General features: G+C 44.1%; 1 protein-coding gene across 8 annotated transcripts in view, besides 5 other annotated features; it reads right to left on the bottom strand.

The window, feature by feature from the left end:
* Positions 1-15342, bottom strand: part of ACER2 (alkaline ceramidase 2) — a 43497-nt gene extending 28155 nt beyond the window's left edge. For 5 of the 8 annotated variants that reach the window (XR_002956780.2, XR_002956781.2, NM_001010887.3 and 2 more), the window contains exons 1-2: positions 15159-15342; positions 375-489 (exon numbers count right to left, since the gene is read on the bottom strand). Coding sequence is in view for 5 of the 8 variants with exons in the window: in NM_001010887.3 (NP_001010887.2) it covers positions 375-489; positions 15159-15266 (223 nt within the window). In the remaining 3 variants the exon portion in view is untranslated. Of the gene's footprint in view, positions 1-374; positions 490-4641; positions 4665-14441; positions 14573-15158 lie in introns of those variants that run through there. The other 3 variants (XM_047423335.1, XM_017014694.2, XM_011517859.3) reach the window with 3 other exon arrangements.
* Positions 14659-15514: an enhancer, noted in NCBI's record as "H3K27ac-H3K4me1 hESC enhancer chr9:19408835-19409690 (GRCh37/hg19 assembly coordinates)". NCBI's record gives its function as "activates a minimal SCP1, AML or CMV promoter by ChIP-STARR-seq in naive H9 embryonic stem cells {active_cell/tissue: H9 hESC(naive)}" and the evidence as "EXISTENCE:reporter gene assay evidence [ECO:0000049][PMID:30033119]".
* Positions 14659-16372: a biological region, named in NCBI's record as "H3K27ac-H3K4me1 hESC enhancers GRCh37_chr9:19407977-19408834 and GRCh37_chr9:19408835-19409690".
* Positions 15097-15246: an enhancer, noted in NCBI's record as "active region_28221". NCBI's record gives its function as "activates an Ori minimal core promoter by ATAC-STARR-seq in GM12878 lymphoblastoid cells {active_cell/tissue: GM12878}" and the evidence as "EXISTENCE:reporter gene assay evidence [ECO:0000049][PMID:35858748]".
* Positions 15347-15636: a silencer, noted in NCBI's record as "silent region_19794". NCBI's record gives its function as "represses an Ori minimal core promoter by ATAC-STARR-seq in GM12878 lymphoblastoid cells {active_cell/tissue: GM12878}" and the evidence as "EXISTENCE:reporter gene assay evidence [ECO:0000049][PMID:35858748]".
* Positions 15515-16372: an enhancer, noted in NCBI's record as "H3K27ac-H3K4me1 hESC enhancer chr9:19407977-19408834 (GRCh37/hg19 assembly coordinates)". NCBI's record gives its function as "activates a minimal SCP1, AML or CMV promoter by ChIP-STARR-seq in naive H9 embryonic stem cells {active_cell/tissue: H9 hESC(naive)}" and the evidence as "EXISTENCE:reporter gene assay evidence [ECO:0000049][PMID:30033119]".

The following is a 16794-nucleotide window of genomic DNA, read 5'->3' as shown; positions in this document are numbered from 1 at the left end:
ATGACACAAGTATTTCACAAAACAATGAGGGATCAAACATCTACATTTTTTTCTTTAATTTTAGTCCATTAGAAACCAGCCTCCCCAGAGTTCAGTTGTTTCACCTGACTTTCTTCAGACGTTCAGAAAATTGCACTGGCATAGCCCTAATAGCTACTACACAAATGAAGTCTCAAATGCACGCAAGTGACAGTAATGCCAACTTTGTTATCAAGCCTGCATTCAAGCAAGTGGGAAAAAAAAGTTTGCTAAGACCTCAGAGTGACTTCAGTTTACAAAACATTATGTTCAAAGGGGAGAGGAAGTGTGTGGAATTCCTTCTACCCCCATCCCACCACCCCATTAAGTCCGTGTTCCCAAATGACTCCACTTACCCACTACAACCAAAAGAGTCCAGATTAAGTAGATGCCACTGTTGAAGCATGTTGCATACTGACGAAACAAGCACATGCAGATGGGCGGTAAAATGAAAAATAAGACATTGCTGATCTGCAGGAAAAAAATGTAAAACAGAAAGATGAGTATTAAGTAAAAAGGGCAAAAAATAAAGTGGCCTCTTCCAAGTATGTCCTTGCAAACTGGGATAAATGTGGTCACACATCTCGTTTAAGCTCTTGCACTTTTTCTTTTTCTTTTCTCTTTGAGATGGAGTCTCACTCTGTCACCCAGGCTGGAAGGCTGAAATGCAGTGGTACGATCTTGGCTCACTGCAACCTCTACCTCCCGAGTTCAAGCAATTCCCCTGCCTCAGCCTCCTGAGTAGCTGGGATTACAGGCACCCACCACCATACCTGGCTCATCTTTGTATTTTTAGTAAGATGAGGTTTCACCATGTTGGCCGGGCTGGTCTCGGAACTCCCAACCTCAGGTGATCTGCCTGCTTCAGCCTCCCAACGTGCTGGGATTGCAGGCATAAGCCACCACACCCAGCCTCTGACACTTCTTTTGACTACAGATATACAATCAGGAGAACTTAAAGCTTTTTAAATGACCATTTAAGAGGCTCCCTGCTGCTTCTTTGATCATAGGAGTAGCTATAAAAACACTGCAGTCTATGGATGCTGCCCAAGCTCCTCTCTTATTCTTATTAACTAAGAATTAAATAAGAATTAACCAGTAATTCTTATTGCAAGGTTAATTATGAATCATTCTAATTTACTTGCACTTATTTTTTTCACAATCCTTTTTTAAGAGACATGGTCTAGCTATGTTTTCCAGGCTGGACTGAAGTGATCCTCCCACCACAGCCTCCCAAGTAGCTGGGACTAGGTACATGCCACCATGCCTGGCTCCATTTACTTTTTTTTTTTTTTTTTTTGAGACAGAGTTTCTTTCTTACAGCCCAGGCTGGAGTTCTTTGGTGCAGTCTCAGCTCACTGCAACTTCTGCCTCCCAGGTTCAAGCGATTCTCCTGCCTCAGCCTCCCGAGTAGTTGGGATTACAGGCGCTCACCACCACACCCAGCTAATTTTTGTATTTTTAGTAGAGACGGGGTTTCACCATGTTGGCCAGGCTGGTCTCAAACTCCTGACCTCAGGTGATCCACTCGTCTCAGGCCTCCCAAAGTTCTGGGATTATAGGCATGAGCCACTGCGCCCGCCTGCTTTTGTGTTTTTAAAGATAAGGTCTGTATTAAATAATGGTTAAAAAAAAAAAAAAGTTTAATGAAGGCGTAAAAAAGACTGGACATTGTCCAGCTCCCAATAATCCTCCCCAGCCAAGCCAGCCTTTTCCCCTGTGCCTACACAAAGCGAGGACTCTTTCTAGTTTCCCCCTTCGTTGCCCTTTGTCAGCTTTCCCATCCTAACCAAAACCTATTTTTAAGTAAAGATTATATTTGAAAGTTTCTTCCCAGCTTTAAAATGATATTATTTTATCTTGCAGATTTTGGTATGGATTTAAGCCTCTCTGTTATGTCTCCATGGGCATTCAACTTTTTAAAAATTTTAATAATCTATCTTATTTAATGCAATGTATTCAAAATATTGTCATTTGAACATGTAATCACTATTAAATATCATTAATGAGATAGTTTACTTTTTTTTTTTCTTAGAGACAGGGTATTACTCTGTCAACCAGGCTAGAGTGTAGTGGTGGGACCAGCTTGCTGCAGCCTCCTACTTCCAGGCTTAAGGGAGCCTCCTGCCTCAGCCTCTTGAATAGCTAGGATTACAGGCATGCACCACCATGCCTGGCTTTATTTATTATTATAATTTTTTTTTTTTTTTGGTAGAGATGGTGGTCTCACTATGTTGCCCAGGCTGATCTCACACTGCTGGCCTCAAGCAATCCTCCTGCCTCAGCCTCCCAAAATGCTGGGATTATAGGCATGAGTCACCGCGTCCAGCCTAGTTTACATTATTTTGTTCATACCAAAGCCTTGAAGATCAGTGTAAATTTCACACTCACAACAAGCCTCAGTTTGGGCTAGGCACATTTCCTGTGCTCAACAGCCAACTAAATGTGGCCAGTGACTGTCATATTGGAAACTCATCCCTAATTTTTTTAACTTACTTTTTGTTTGGTTGATTTTGGGGTTTGTTTGTTTCACAGACTCAAAGCTTTTTTTTTCTGAACTTTAAAAAATTGAGGTAAAATTCACATACCATAAAACTAACCATTTTAAAGTGTACAATTCAGTGGCATTTAGTACATTTCATAATGGGCAACCATCACCTCTATCTAGTTCCAAAATGTTTTCATCACCCCAAAAAGAAACACTATTCTCATTAAGCAGTCACTCCTCATTTCTCCCTCCCTCAGCCCCTGGCATTCACCAATCTGCCTTTTGTCTTTATGATTTTATCTATTCTAAATATTTCACATAACATAAATGGAATCATACAATATATGTCCTTTTGTATCTAGCTTATTTTTTCATTTAGCATAATGTTTTTAAGGTTCATCCATATTACAGCATATACCAGTAACTTATTCTTTTTTATGGTTGGATAACATTCCATTGAAAGGATATACTACATTTATTTTGTCTATTCATACATTAATTGTTGCTGGGTACTATGGTCTGAATGTGTCACCCCCACACACAAAATTCATATGTTAAAACTTAATCATCAATGTGATAGTATCATTATTTGCAACAAAATGACATTTCAGTCAACAATGAGCCACACATATGACAGTGGACCCATATTATAATGGAGCTTTTATGCCACATTTTTCCTGATACTTTTCCAGGTTTAGATATGCTTAAATACACAAATATTTACTGTTGTGTTACAGTTGCCTACAGTGTCCAGTACAGTAACAGGTTGTACAGGTTTATAGCCTATGAGCAATAGGCCATACCATATGGCCTGGGTGTGTACAAAGCTATACCATCTAGATTTGTGTAAGTATGGTCTATAATGTTATAGAATGACAAAATCTCCTGACAATACATTTCTCAGAACGTATCCCCATCACACAACTGTACTAAGAGGTGAGGCCTTTGGAGGTGTTAAATTGGATTAGCGCTCTTCTAACAGAGGTCTGAGGGAGGTATTCACCCTTCCCACCATGTGAGGGTGTAGCATATACTCCGTCTTTGAAGCAGGGAGCCCTTGCCAGACCCCCAACCTGCTGCCACCTTGATCTTGGACCTTCCAGCCTCTAGAACTGTAAGAAATGAATTTCTGTTATTATAAATTACCCAGTCTAAGATCTTTTGTTATAGCAGCATGAACGGACTAAGGCACTAGCTGGTGTACTAATTCCATTTTTAACTTTTTAAGGAACCACCAAACATTTTCCCACAGCAGCATTTTTATATTCCCATCAGCAATGTACAGTGTTCCAATTTCTCACATCCTTGCCAACACTTGTTATATTCTTTTGTTTTTAAATTAAGCTATTTTAGAAGATATGAAGCGGTAGGAACATTCAGCTTTTAAGTCTCATCTCTAATTGTGGAGTGAGGGGCTCCTTGTACAGGACTGAGCACAGAGAAGAAGTATGTCGAATGTGAAGATGACAGCTAAGTCTACATGAGTAACACCCATCGGGATGGGGTGGGAGGGGTCCTGGACTAAACACAAACAAAAATCACATTCAAAAATAGGTGAATAGGGTTGATGAACTGTGCAAAGCCAAGGGCACAGGGCTTTCAGAAGAAAAGAGCGGTTACTCATGTTGGACAATACACAATGGTCACTTAGAGGACGTCTCAAAGAACCATGATGGTGGGCACCTGAACAGAACTGAAGTGAGCAGGGCCAAAGAGCTTTACCAGACCTAAGAAACCACACTGGTACACAACTAAATAGAATGCTTCAGCAAACCCCAGAACTTGAGGCATAGGGCAAGTGAGGACTGGCAGCTTCAAGGACCAATGCCTGCCTCTGCCACCATCTGGGGAGGAGAGCGGGTAAGCATGACACTTTTTAGAAACGGGAGAAAGATGGGTGGGAGAGAAATGCAAGTCAAAGGAGGAGAAAAAGATCCTTGGTCAGGGGCAGAATGGGAGCAGAGCTGTTACCTTTGGTTAAAATCCAGGTCTGAAATACCTAAGTGGGGCTGTATCATTATGGAGAAAGGGGTACCTTTTTCTAGTTGGTTCACTTTGTTTTTGTTTTGCTTTGTTTTGAGATGGAGTCTCACTCTGTCACTAGTCCAGGCTGGAGTGCAACGGCACGATCTCACCTTACTGTAATGTCCGCCTCCTGGCTTCAAGCAATTCTCCTGCCTCAGCCTCCAGAGTAGCTGGGATTACAGGCGCCTGCCACTCCTGGCTAATTTTTGTATTTTTAGTAGAGACAGAGTTTCATCACGTTGGCCAGGCTGGTCTTCAACTCCTGACCTCAAGTGATCCGCCTGCCTCAATCTTTAACAGTGCCAGGATTACAGGTGTGAGCTCCCATGCTCAGCCTTTAGTTGGTTCACTTTGTTGCGGATCTTTCTCTCCTTCCCACATAGGAGTGCTATGTGCGACTAGTGACCTTGGGTAAGAATATGGACAAGTTGTCTGAGACGTCCCAGGTGGTATACAGTCACCAGTCTGAGAAATGTGGCCAATTTTTCTTAGATCAATGAAAAGAAAAAAAGAAAAAGAAAAGAAATGTGGTCAATTTTCATTTACCAAGAAGCAGGCATGGAGGAATCAGGACAAGGATCTAAGTACTATACTGTATATGCAGTAGGTTTTGTTTTGTTTTGTTTTTGAGATGGAGTTTTGCTCTTGTTGCCCAGGCTGAAGTACAATGGTGCGATCTCGGCTCACTGCAACCTCCGCCTCCTGGGTTCAAGCAATTCTCCTGCCTCAGCCTTCCAAGTAGCTGGGATTACAGGCATGAGCCACCATGCCCAGCTAATTTTTTTCTATTTTTATAGTAGAGATGGGGTTTCACCATGTTGGTCAGGCTGGTCTGGAACTGCTGACCTCAGGTGATCCACCCTCCTCGGCCTCCCAAAGTGCTGGGATTACAGGCACAGGCCACCGCACCCGGCCAGCAGTAGGCTTTTATTCATTGTTATGATCAAAGCCCTTAACTTTCTTTCTTCTTTTTTTAATTACACTTTAAGTTCTGGGATATATGTGCAGAACGTGCAGGTTTGTTACATAGCTATACACGTGCCATGGTGGTTTACTGCACCCATCAACCCATCATCTACATTAGGTATTTCTCCTAATGCTATCCCTCCCCTAGCCCTCTACCCCTCAAAAGGCCCCGGTGTGTGATGTTTCCCTCCCTGTGTCCATGTGTTCTCGTTCCACTCCCACTTATGAGTGAGAACATACAGTGTTTGGTTTTCTGTTCCTGTGTTAGTTTGCTGAGAATAATGGTTTCCAGCTTCATCCATGTCCCTGCAAAGGACATGAACTCATCCTTTTTTGTGGCTGCATACTATTCCATGGTGTGTATGTGCCACATTTTCTTTATCCAGTCTATCACTGATGGGCATTTGGGTTGGTTCCAAGTCTTTGCTATTGTGAACAGTGCTGCAATAAACATACTTGTGCATGTGTCTTTATAGTAGAATGATTTATAATCCTTTGGGTATATACCTAGTAATGGCATTGCTGGGTCAAATGGTATTTCTAGTTCCAGATTGTTGAGGAATCGCCACACTGTCTTCCACAATGGTTGAACTAATTTACACTCCCACCAACAGTGTAAAAGTGTTCCTATTTCTCCACATCCTCTCTAGCATCTGTTGTTTCCTGACTTTTTAATGATCGCCATTCTAACTGGCATGAGATGGTATCTCATTGTGGTTTTGATTTGCATTTCTCTAATGACCAGTGATGATGAGCTTTTTTCATATGTTTGTAGGCCACATAAATGTCTTCTTTTGAGAAGTGTCTGTTCATATCCTTTGCCCACTTTTTGATGGGGTTGTTTTTTTTCTTGTAAATTTGTTTAAGTTCCTTGTAGATTTAGCCCTTTGTCAGATGGATAGATAGCAAAAATTTTCTCCTATTCTGTAGGTTAACTGTTCAACCTGATGATAGTTTCTTTTGCTGTGCAGAAGCTCTTTAGTTTAATTAGAGCTCATTTGTCAATTTTGGCTTTTGTTCCCATTGCTCTTGGTGTTTTAGTCATGAAGTCTTTGCCCATGCATATGTCCTGAATGGTATAGCCTAGGTTTCCTTCTAGGGTTTTCATGGTTTTAGGTCTTATGTTTAAGTCTTTAATTCATCTTGAGTTAATTTTTGTATAAGGTGTAAGGAAGTTTCAGTTTTCTGATTATGGCTAGCTAGTTTTCCTAACACCATTTATTAATAGGGAATCCTTTCCCCATTGCTTGTTTTTGTCAGGTTTGTCAAAGATCAGATGGTTGTAGATGTGTGACATTATTTCTGAGGCCTCTGTTCTGTTCCATTGGTCTATATATCTATTTTGGTACAAGTACCATGCTGTTTTGGTTACCATAGCCTTGTAGTATGAAGTCAGGTAGCGTGATGCCTCCAGCTTTGTTCTTTTGGCTTAGGAATGCCTTGGCAATGTGGGCTTTTTGTTTCCATATGAAATTTAAAGTAGTTGTTTCTAATTCTGTGAAAAAAAGTTAATGGTAGCTTGATGGGGATAGCACTGAATCTATAAATTACCTTGGGCAGTATGGCCATTTTCATGATTTTGATTCTTCCTTTCCATGAGCATGGAATATTCTTCCATTTGTTTGTGTCCTCTATTATTTCCTTGAGCAGTGGTTTGTAGTTCTCCTTGAAGAGGTCCTTCATATCCTTTGTAAGTTGTATTCCTAGGTATTTTATTCTCTTTGTAGCAATTGTGAATGGGAGTTCACTTGTGATTTGCCTCTCTGTCTATTATTGGTGTATAGGAATGCTTGTGATTTTTACACAATGATTTTGTATCCTGAGACTTTGCTGGAGATGCTTATCAGCTTAAGGAGTTTTTGGGCTGAGAGGATGGGATTTTCTAAACATACAATCATGTCATCTGCAAACAGAGATAATTTGACTTAACTTTCAGTGGAATCATTTAAGAATCAAAGACCCTTAAGAGGGTCTTTTAAAAAAGGATTATTTTAAGAAGGATCTTAAAAACCATCCCTTAGGCGGGGCACGGGTGGCTCACGCCTGTAATCCCAGCATTTTGGGAGGCTGAGGCAGGTGGATCACCTGAAGTCAGGAGTTTGAGACCAGCCTGGCCAACATGGCAAAACCCTGTCTCTACTAAAAGTACAAAAAAAAAAAATTAGCTGGGCATGGTGGCGGGCGCCTGTAATCCCACCTACTCGGGAGGCTAAGGCAGGAGAATCACTTGGACCCGGGAGGCGGAGGTTGCAGTAAGCCGAGATCACACCATTGCACTCCAGCCTGGGCGACAAGAGTCTCAAAAAAATAAAATATAATAAAATAAAAAATAAAAATAAATAAAAACCATCCCTTGTTTTACAAAGGGATATAGCTGAGGGCCCTGAAAGGCTCCAGGGCTGGCTCAAGTCAGAGAGCCAATCTGCACAGAGCCCGGCTCCTTCCACTGCTCCCAGCTGATTTTCAACCCCAACTCATTCAACCACATTCTGACCTCCTTGGCTTAACTCCTCCACTAGCATCTAAAAATTGTGAATCACATCACCCACTGTGCATCACACACTGTGCACATATGACCAGTTTCTTGGCTTTGATGTAAACATGGCTTTCCTCTTGTTAAACTAGCAATAAAAGGAAGAAAAGGAGATGAATGGGGAGAAGGAGCAGATGAAGGCGGATCAAGGGAGTGAAGAAAGAGGAGAAGAAAAATGGAATTGTTATACCATAGGTAACTTAAAACCTGATCTTTCTCCCTTCATATACATGAATGTGTTCTTGTAAAAAAAAAAAAAAGGAATAAAGTTTCCTTTCTAGCCTCTTCCCCAGAGATAACCACTGTCCTCATTTTCTTCACATTTACATGAATAGGTACGTATATGTCACATATTGTTAACATTCCCATCGTGCAGCTTCCTTTTCTCCTTCAACAATATGCACTGCAAACCTTTTCATCCTAGATAATAAAGATTTAGCTCACTTGCTGTAAGTGAGGCAGATGGGAGCAGTTTAGCCATTTTCCAGTGGAAGGAGCACCAATTTACAGTCCCACTTATAATGTTGAGAAATATAATGCATTGCGATTTCTACCCCAGAAGATCTTTAGTGCCTCAAGTCCTCTCAATCTACCTTGCTTCTGCTAAGTGCAACTATCTACTCCCAAGCTGTCCCGCAATGGCTTTCTTGGGTTATATTTCCACCAGCAATGGACACACTAATCACTTTTAAATGTATTTATATATTATTTGCAAAGGCATGAAGTCATTTATCACACCTACAGCAAAATTATGATATGTAAAACTTTTTTTTAATTTTTAATTTTTATTTATTTATTTGTTTATTTATTTATTTATTTATTTATTGAGATGGAGTCTCACTCTGTCACCCAGGCTAGAGTACAGTGGCGAAATCTTGGCTAACTGCAACCTCCGCCTCCCAGGTTCAAGCGATTCTCCTGATTCAGCCTCTCCTCAAGTAGCTGGGACTACAGGTAAGTGCCATCATGCCCATCTAATTTTTTGTATTTTCAGTAGAGACGAGGTTTCACCATGTTGGCCAGGCTGGTCTTGAACTCCTGACCTCAAGTGATCAGCCCACCTCAGCCTCCCAAAGTGCTGGGATTACAGGCATAAGCCACCACACCTGGCCCAAACAGTTTCTTTAAATGTGCATATTAGAAGCACCATTTAGAAGCACTATTTTGCCATATGCTTCAAATAATACTGAAATTACATTATTCTTCTGCCTAGCCCATCTACCAAGGCTGGCTGGCCCCCACTGTACCTTTTAAAGACGTCAACATATGGAAAGGAAAAGAACAAATTAGTGGGAGACTTTCCCCAAGAGAAAAAGATGAAGGAACACCAAAAGAAATACAAAAAAGCAAATCAGTCATGGTTTAAAAATGGACTCATGGATCCATCTCTACTGAGATGTATCCCTCAAAATTGTATTGGTCGCTGAAATTGTAGAATAGTGCACTCAAGGGCTACAATTTTTTTTTTTTTTTTTGAGGCGGAGTCTCGCTCTGTCAGCCAGGTTGGAGTGCAGTGGCGCGATCTTGGCTCACTGCATGCTCCGCCTCTCAAGGAGTACATTTTAAAGCCTATTGTTAGATTATAGCATGCTCACAGCTCACTGCAGCCTTGATCTCAGCCTCCTGAGTAACTGGGACCACAGGCATGTGCCATCATGTCCAGCTAATTTTCACATTTTTTGTAGAGACAGGGTAGGGTTTTGCCATGTGGCTCAGGCTGGTCTCAAGTGATCTGCCAGCCTCAGCCTGGGCTCAAGTGATCTGCCAGCCTCAGCCTCCTAAAGTACTAGGATTAGAGGTGTGAGCCACTGCGCCTAGCCCACAATTTTTAAAATGTATTATTTCCTTAGAAAGTTCTTCATTCTATGAATTTCCACATAACATTTGCTACAAAATAATCTCATGAACATACTGCAGTCTCATCCTGATGCATCTGAATGTGCACTTTCCAGACAGAGGGTAAATAAAGACAAAACAACAGGCTGTACATATTCTGGACAGCAGGTTCATAAACAGCTGAGGACTTTTACCCTGGCTGAGTGGATTGTCTGTCCATCTTAATTGTGTGCTGATTCCTAACTACCCATTCCATTGTTTTACTTCTGCCCCTGGGATGACCAACTGTCGTGGTTTGCTTGGGACTGAGGGGGCTTCCCAAGGCATGGGACGTTCAGTTTTAAAATCAGAAAAGTCTCAGGCAAAAACCCAGGACAAGTTTGGTCACTCTATTCAGAAGCCTTCTTGCAAAACCACCACCCTATCCTCACAGTACATCAATCCCATGCACAGTACTAAAAACACCCTCAGCGGCTTGTACACACCTCTATCATAGCCCTCACCACCCATATGACTATTTACAGAGCTGGTCTCTGGAATAAGCACACAGTTGTTGCCCAGCAAATGCTCAGATTGATGGATCGACCGATAGATTCAGCCTGAAGAGAGCGGGACTTAGGACTTGGCATATAACGAGAGCTCTATTTATCTTGATGACTGGGGACAGAGCAGGAAGTGACAGATCATGAGCTGATTTTATGCATGTATTTTGCTTCAAGATTCTTTTCAGCGATCAGTTGACTTTCTTCTGTCCTCAAGTCCCTGCTGAGCAACAGAGTCCCCAAAGGCCAAGCTCAGGTAAAAGGCAGACCCGGCTTTTCTCCAAAGTGGCTAGGTCTATGTGACTGGGGCCTTAAATATTTTCTTTTTTTTTTTTTTTTCCTTAAGATGGAATCTTGCTCTGTCACCCAGGCTGGAATGCAGTGGCCTCATCTTGGCTCACTGCAACCTCCACCTCCCAGGTTCAAGCAATTCTCCTGCCTCAGCCTCCCTAGTAGCTGGGACTACAGGCACACACCACCACACTTGGCTAGTTTTTTGTATTTTTGGTAAAGATGGGGTTTCGCCGTGTTGGCCAGGCTGGTCTCAAACTCCTGACCTCAAGTGATCCTCCCACTTCAGCCTCCCAAAGTGCTGGGATTACAGGCGTGAGCCACCGCGCCCAGCCAGGGGGTCTTAAATCTTAAAACATAAAAAGGAACTCAATTAATAAAATTTGTATATAGAAGAAACAGTATAAAATGTGCACAAGTAAAAGGCTGTGAAAGGAAATTACATGTTCATGGAAGAGATATTAGGCTTGGCTGAAGCAAAGGATGATACAATTTGAGGCAACAGAAATTTGCAGAGGCCAAAGCAAAATGTTTTGTATGCCCAAACATTGTCAGTGGAAGTCAAATCAGTGCACTCTCTTTAGTGTGCCATTTCACAATAATTATCAGCATTTAAACTGAATATCCTCCTTGACACAGCAATCCCCATCTAAGATTAGTGCTTGCGAAAGTACATCCAGATGCATGAATGAGGATATTCACTGAATCACTGTTCAAAAACCAAAATGAAAACAATAAAACAGAGAGAAACTATATGAAATGTCCATCAATAAGGATTGATTAGATAAATAAATTATGATCAATCCATTAAAGGGAGTACTGTATAAACATTATAAACAGGAAGAGAGCACTATATGAGCTGATATGGAAATATCTCCAAGACATATTAAGTGAAAAACACAAGGTACATAAGAGTTTACACAGTACCATCTTGGAAAAAAACTTCAAGTATTCGTGATTACGCCATACATGCTGGTTTTTTTTTTTTTTTTTTTGAGACAGAATCTTGCTCTGTTGCCCAGGCTAGAGTGTGCAGTGGCGCGATCTCAGCTTACTGCAACCTTCACCTCCCAGGTTCAAGCTATTCTTCTGCCTCAGCCTCCTGAGTAGCGGGGACTTACAGGCACGCACCACCACAACCAGCTAAATTTTTGTATTTTTAGTAGAGATGAGGTTTCACCATGTTGGCCAGGTTGGTCTCAAACTCCTGACCTCAAATGATCTGCCTGCCTCAGCCTCCCAAAGTGCTGAGATTACAGGCATGAGCCACTGCCCCCAGCCTTATACATGCGTATTTTATATGCACACAGATACATGTGCTTTTTATATGCCTAGAAAATATCTAGAAAGATACAGAAGGTTATTTTTCACTCTACAACTTACATACTCTAAATTTTTTACCATGATCATATTACTTTTACAATAAACAGTAATTTTACAAACTACTTTAAATAAACTTTTTTCCTATCAAAAAGTATGAGTTTTATCCTAGAGATAAAATGATCCCAAGACAGGAGTTTTAAGTTATGGAATGACTAAATAATAAATATCTATTCTATGCCAAATAGATAAATCTAAGTTAGTTACAGTGGCACTTATAGCTTCAAGATAACTCTCTTGGTAGAGTCAAATGGACCAAGTTCTGACTTCAGCTGTGCTATGCTCTTGACCACAGCAAGTTACATAAACTCTCTAGGCCCCAATTTCCATCTTTATCAAATGGATATAATAAATAGCACCCATTGTCTAGAATGAGTATACAGTACCCAGCAGAGCTTCAACACATAGCAATTAAGTAATGGTAGACAGTAGTATCTGAAGGTGTAGTAGTGATGTGCTACCCCTAAGACCCATTAAGAAGGTTCTAGATCCCTCTCCCGGTCTTCTCCTGATTTAACATTGTCAATTCCTCCAACTTTTTCTCAAAACTGGTAATGATTATGAGTTTCCTATAAACTGGGTAATTAGACCTGTTGCCTTATTATGAGGATTTAAGACGATATTTATCACCACATAACAGTCTACTGTCTTTCTCAACACAGGAGTAAGATAAGCATGGGAATGTCCTGTGATAAGCATCAAAATATAAGTAGTACGTAAGAACACAGGGGAAGAAGGCCGGGCATGGTGACTCACGCCTGTAATCCCAGCACTTTGGGAGGATCGCTTGAACCTGGAGGTGGAGGTCGCAGTGAGCCAAGATCGCACCACAGCACTCAAGCCTGGAACAGAGCATGATCATCTCAAAAAAAAATTTTTTTAAATAGCAACAGAGGGGAAGAAACGTTTTTTGCTAAATTCTTTGGACCTACACTCAACAAAGTTAGGCAATGACCTTATTCTCTGACACCTTACGCTCTCTGCTTTGCCAGAGCAAATTTTGTGGTTTATGAGTATTCCAAGGAATAAAGTTTGTCAGATGGGCCAGCTGGGCTCATCAGCCAGACAATGCAGCTGAAGATCAACAGTTAGTTTCTGAAAAAGACTTTAGCACTCACTACATAGAGTAACGGCTCCAATGGGACTAGATTAAAAGTAAAGACAAACTCTCCCTTTCATCCAGCCCTATGACACTTTTCAAGACAGACTCAGAGAAGCCATACACTAGCTTTTTTGGCCAAAATAACCAAGGTTGACCCTCTCTGTAGACCCCAGGCTGCACAGAGAATAATCTTGCTAAGTGTGTGAGAACCTGTCATCAAGCTGTCTTTTCTTCTTGAACTCTGGTGAAATCCTTACTCTTTCACTATATTCTTTATTTACAAAAGGACAGCTTGTGTTACCACTGGTGTTTCTCCTTATTGAAAGTACCCAGAACTACTCCAGCCCATCCTCTGTGTGCAACTATTTACCCCTGACAGCATGCTCTGGGAGGTTATGCAATACATAAGTCATGGCCACTTCCACTGTCTTTCACAGTATCTGTGGTCAGCAGAGGGCCAGGTTTTCTTTGAGACCCTGTTGCCCAGGCTGGAGTGGAGTGGCGCGATCTCAGTTCATTGCAGCCTTCAACTCCCAGGCTCAGGTGATCCTCCCACCTCAGCTTCCCAAGTAGCTGGGACGACAAGTGTGTGCCACATGTCCAGCTAATTTTTGTATTTTTTTGTAGAGATGAGGTTTCGCCATGTTGCCCAGGTTGGTCTCGAACTCCTGGATTCAAGCGATCCACCTGCCTTGGCCTCCCAAAGTGCTAGGAATACAGGTGTGAGCCACAACGCCCAGCCTTAGGTTTTCTTAAGGAACCAACCTAATCATAAAAAAAGGAGCAGGAGTGTTTGTGTGGAAGCCAGCCATGGATTTCAGCACTGAGGGAAGGAAGGGCCCAGACTTCTGGATTGTGGCCCCAGCCATGCCAGAAATGTGAGCATGACAGCTCCCTCCTCAAGAGCCCAGTTTTCTCATCAGATGAATAAAAGGACAGGGACTAGATCATCTGAGATTCCTGCAGGCAGTAAGCACCTGACTCCTGCTGAAGACATTCTCTCTAGCAAATCCAAAAGGAAAAGTCCTAAACAACAACCTCAAATTCACAATGACCCAAACCAGGAGTTCCTGTTTCCCTTGTTTGGGCGGTGAAAAGATAAGCCACAGAAATGACCACGCAAAGTCTCACATTCTGTACCAGGATTCTGAGCCATGGACATACACAAAATAAGAGGCATTTCCTCTCCCAGCTGCAACCCTTCCCTACCACAAGAACTAAAATCACACAGGATTCTGCAATGGGGAAGTTTCTGCTCACCCTTATCTAGGGACCTAGGCAAATCCAAAACCCGCACATTATCACTCCCAAACTTTCCTTTCATCCCTCAGACTTCAGAACTGGAGAAAGCACAGTCCTGGGGGAGTTGAATTAGCGGCTTGCACAAGACAGGACACTAAAGGCAAGAAAAAAAAACAAGTAGTAATTAACTTGATTCTGACCAAAAATAACTCGACCATTATAGGCATGTTCTTGGGGGTGGGGCAAGTCTGCCTGGTGGGAGTGACCCCAGCCGCGGGGACCTGCGGGGGGCGTGCTCTTCCCAGCACTCCGAGAGCAGGTATTCAGGGCAAAAAAGCACAATGCGACCCAAGTGCGTCACGCCACAGAGATCCCAGGGGAGGAAGAGACTTGTCCCGGCAGGTTCACCGCCCCCAGCTGACCCAAACAAGGAGAATGGGCTGACACAGACCCCTGGTTCCTGGACGCGTGGGGGCCAAACAAGACAATAGGACCATCACAAAACAAATGACAGCAGGAGGAAGATGAGCCCAGCTGTCGGGAATGGGGACAGGAGAGGAGGACAGATGGAGAACTGAAAGGAGCGCGCCGAGGAGGGGGTGTGGACTGACTCAGCCCCTGGAGAGAATGCCCCCAGATGCGCGCAGAGACCCACGTCCAGCTTCCAGACGCTGCGGCGCGGGAACAGCCCCCTCCCGCTGGCCCGCCTGCCTTCCCCGCTCCCGCGCCCCGCACCGTGTTGTAGAACTCGGCGATAGCAGGCACGATGGTGTAGTTGTCCTCGCACCAGTCCACCTCCGAGCTACCAGCCTGCAGCTGGTCCCACCAGTGCGGGGCGCCCATGGCCACTCCGGGGCATTGGAGCAGCTGCTCGCGCAGCTGAGAAGAGCCCAGAGCTGCTGCGGAGGCAAAACGCGGCGACAGCCAGCGGCGAAAGCGGCTTTATGAAGCACCGGGTAACCGCCGGATGTGCGCCTCCCAACTGGCCTCCCGCGCTCCGCCCCGCCTCGCCTCGCCTGCGGGAGGTTACTCGTTCGCAGACCCTCCCCGGCCCCTCCCCCTGGAAGCCACGCCCACCGTGGGGCGGGACCCGCGTGGAGGAGGGGTCCAGGGTGGGGCGCCTGGAGGCGGAGACCGGGCTCCAGACTCTTCCAGACTACCCAGCACCCGGCAGGTGGCCAGGGCCTCGATGGTGCTACCCACGCCTGCCCACGCCCATCTCCTGGCTCAGACTCGCAGCCTCCCCCGATTGAAGGAGCGCCAGAACTCTCCCTGGAAAAAAATTTAAAATAAAAAGAAACCCGGGAGGACCTGGACCTCTCTGGACCCAGAGTTTGCAGCGATTTTGCTGCGTCCGGCGTTGGACGCCAGTGCTTACACCAGAGAAGTGCCCTCAGTCCCTCCGAGGCCGGACGCCACTCGCTGCGGTCACTGTGGCAGGAAGACCTTCCCGGCTGCTGGAGCAGGTTGGGCCGCCCAGTCCCCGGGGGAGCACTTCTATTTAGAGTACGTTCCTGCCCTCCCTCCCCTTGGCTCCAGCGTTAAGGCTTAATCTAGCCTTCGATATGGGGACTTAGGCAAAGGGTCAAACGTCAGCCATCCCAAACTGCAGAGGATGTAGTGTGGCAGTTATGACATCTCCAAGATATCGAGGTTCAAGAGGTGATAGATAACATACACATGCCAGGTGCTGTCTGAAGAGTTTCCATGTATCACTCATTTAGTGTGCCCAGCAGAGACCCTGTGAGGGGCTTCTATTAGCAAGTGACAGAGCTGGAAATTCAATTCAGGCAAGATGTCCTCAGATCCAGTCATAACTACCTTCTTTTGCTTCTGTAACTGTTCTGCGGTTTGTAAATGAAAGCCAATCTGGTTCCCAGGATCCCTAGAGGAAAGCCACCCTCTGTGTGTATGTGGTGGCTCCCGTTCTCCTTCCTTGAAAGGTTGTAGGATTCTAGGTCAGGACAGCGGCAGAAGAGGCCCTGGGCAGCAGCCCATTGGTGACTGTCATTAGGACGTCTTGCTCGGACCCGCAGGGTATCCTAAAGGCCAGCAACTCCCCAGGGTCTGCCCTCTCTCTGGGCCTGACTGCCCAGCAGGACCCTGGGTGGTGCTTCAGTGTCCTCTGCACCAAGTGTTTGTCTGCCCACCAGTACCCACACAGCCATGTGCAAGTCCCCAGAGATCTCCATCACTGACAAAAACTGCAAGCCCCGCCGCCTCTCCTAGTCTCTAGAAAATCCAGGTTTGTCCCCCAGGGGCCAAACCACACTCCTCCTTTCATCTTTGTCCCAACCTCTATCCCTTCCTCCTGCTTTACGGGCAATTCCACTGCCCTCCAGAACCCAAGTAGAAGATACACTCTTACCTT

Source organism: Homo sapiens, chromosome 9 (genome assembly GCF_000001405.40).
Source record: "Homo sapiens chromosome 9, GRCh38.p14 Primary Assembly".
Taxonomy (NCBI): Eukaryota; Metazoa; Chordata; class Mammalia; order Primates; family Hominidae; genus Homo; species Homo sapiens.
Note: the sequence above shows the minus strand (reverse complement) of the source record. Positions and strands in the feature narration are given on the sequence as shown.